The sequence below is a fragment of the Homo sapiens genome, chromosome 4 (genome assembly GCF_000001405.40).
Source record: "Homo sapiens chromosome 4, GRCh38.p14 Primary Assembly".
Lineage (NCBI taxonomy): Eukaryota > Metazoa > Chordata > Mammalia > Primates > Hominidae > Homo > Homo sapiens.
The window spans coordinates 27,091,114-27,093,491 of record NC_000004.12 but is presented as its reverse complement, the minus strand read 5'-3'; the positions used below and the strand labels follow the sequence as shown (position 1 = coordinate 27,093,491).

Sequence of the window (2,378 nt, the reverse complement as noted above, 5' to 3'; positions counted from 1 at the left end):
ACATGCAGTGTTTGGTTTTCTCTTCCTGTGTTAGTTTGCTGAGGAGGATGGATGAAGCTGGAAGCCATTAACTCTTTTTAAAGCCTAACAATCATTCTACCGCCTCTGTTTATCCCAGCCAGCTGCAAGAAGCCATCAAGATGTAATGGGAAAACCAGAGGCTAAGGAAGCCAAAAGTTCTGGGTTTGAATCTCAGCACATGGTCTTTGCAGTATGTGTCTTTGATTGTTTGCATAACATCTCTGAACCTCAGTTTAAATGCCATCAGTGAAACAGGCATACAACGTTCCCCAGACTTCAGGAATAACATTTCGATACTCATCTAATGCAGTCTGACCCCTCTGCTATGACTTTTATGAGCTTCCTCTCTCATTGTATTCCTGAGAGCCTGTAGGGAACCTTTCCATGTTACAAAAAGCAGCCCCTGCTGCTGCTTGGCAGCCCTCACTTCAGACCCCTGAGCCAGCACCTCTGCTGCTCCCCTCTTGCTGTCATGCTATAATTGCCTCTTCAAGCCAATATGCTCTACATTCTTCTGTATCCCCAGCATGGGACATCCCCTTTCTATTTTTCCTGCAAGCACCAGTAGCATAAGTTGTGGTGTTTTTGTCTTGACCAAAGGCCTGAGCAACGCATCAAGAAGTCTCAATATTAAAAAAGACTCTCAGTTTCTATCAGCTCTGTCAACTGCCCCTGCCCCCAAAATCCATCAGCTTTGTCCCTTCTTGGGGACTCCACTGAGAAAGAAAAAGGGACTAGAACTTCTTGGAGGATGGAGGGACAATGTCTAAAGAGGCCTCGGTGGTGGAGCAACAGCCTAGAACATACACGCTTTGACAACTGATTTGAGATTGTCACCCAAGAAAAAAGAGGAGTCTCTACCCAAGAAAAGCTGAGTAAGGGGATCCAGAGAATGACCACTGCAGAGGCTTTGCAGAGGAGGCCCAGTGGCCACATGGAAACCGAGAACTCACTGCTGTCGATGACCACTGGCTCCACAGGCCCTACGGCTCTTGTCAATGCAGGAGAGGCCAGATCCCTAGCCACTGACTGTCCAGCCAGAGTGACACCTGTCCATGCCACAGCACTGCCTGGCATCATCCAAGACCCCATGTGAATACACAAGAATACCCCAAGACACCTGGGAACACAAAGGTTGATGGACAGGGACATTTCACTGGGTGATGAGAGGACAGAAAGCCTCCCTACTTGTTTCATAGGGAATTCCACACCTCTCCTAGTGACATCTCTCAGGGGTTAGTGACAGCACTCTTTGTGTCTGAGGCCAGCTCTGCTCTTTCCCCACCCCACAGAGAGAAGCGTCATTGTTCTCTGACACTTGGCACCCAGCAGACAAGGGCTCCAGCCAGAACCAATGTGCTGCTTGGCGGAGGTGCTCAGCTCCCTGCTCTCAGGAGGTCCCTCGTTTCTGTATGGAATGCTGGATAAAAGACATCACACATTTGATAAGAACTATGGAACTGTACAACACACAGAGTGAACTCTAACATAATTTTAGTTACTACTACTGTACTAATATGGGTTCATCAACTGTAACAAACATCCCACACCAAGGCAAGATATTAACAGTAGGAGTGCCAGCTGCAGTGGCTCACATCGCTAATCCCAGCACTTCTGGAGACTGAAAGTGAGGATTGCTTGACCCCAGGAGTTCAAGACCAGCCTGGGCAACACAGTGAGACCCCATATCTACAAAAAAAAAAGCAGGAGGATCACTTGAGCCCAGGAGTTCAAGACCAGCCTGGCCAGCATAGTGAGACCCCATCTCTACAAAAAATCAAAAAATTAGCCAGGCATGGTGGCACACACCTGTGGTCCCAGCTACTCAGGAGGCTGAGGTGGGAGGATACCTTGAGCACAGAAGGTCGAGGCTGCAGTGAGCCGTGATCCTGCCACTGCACTCCAGCCTATGCGACAGAGTGAGATCCTTCTCAAAAACAAAACAAAAATAATAGGGGAAACTGGAGAGAAGAGGCCACGGAGAATATGCTGCAATCTCTGTATTTTCTGCTGAATTTCTATAAGACTAAAACTGTTAAATTGTAAAAAGTGGGGGAGCATTGGCCAGGTGAGCTTCCCTTGCAATGGAACGTATGGTCTCACCCATCAGAGTAAGAATCAGTTTAAATGTCAGCCAGGCAAATATATACTCATCCCTGTGCAGAAAAATGAAGCCCACCTGAGCAAATACACACATGTGTATGCCCACCCACTCCAGCCCTTCTGGGACCCCAGCACAGTGGCCCCACAACGAGACCACTAAGTTCGGGGGGCGTGGGGCCACCCTTCATGCACTCCACCCCTGAGGTCAGAGAGGCCCCGGCACCTCCTTAATCGTAATGAGCAGTAAAATCAGT

General features: G+C 48.6%; 1 annotated feature.

The window, feature by feature from the left end:
- Positions 1,779 to 2,378: an enhancer, noted in NCBI's record as "H3K4me1 hESC enhancer chr4:27092736-27093335 (GRCh37/hg19 assembly coordinates)". NCBI's record gives its function as "activates a minimal SCP1, AML or CMV promoter by ChIP-STARR-seq in primed H9 embryonic stem cells {active_cell/tissue: H9 hESC(primed)}" and the evidence as "EXISTENCE:reporter gene assay evidence [ECO:0000049][PMID:30033119]".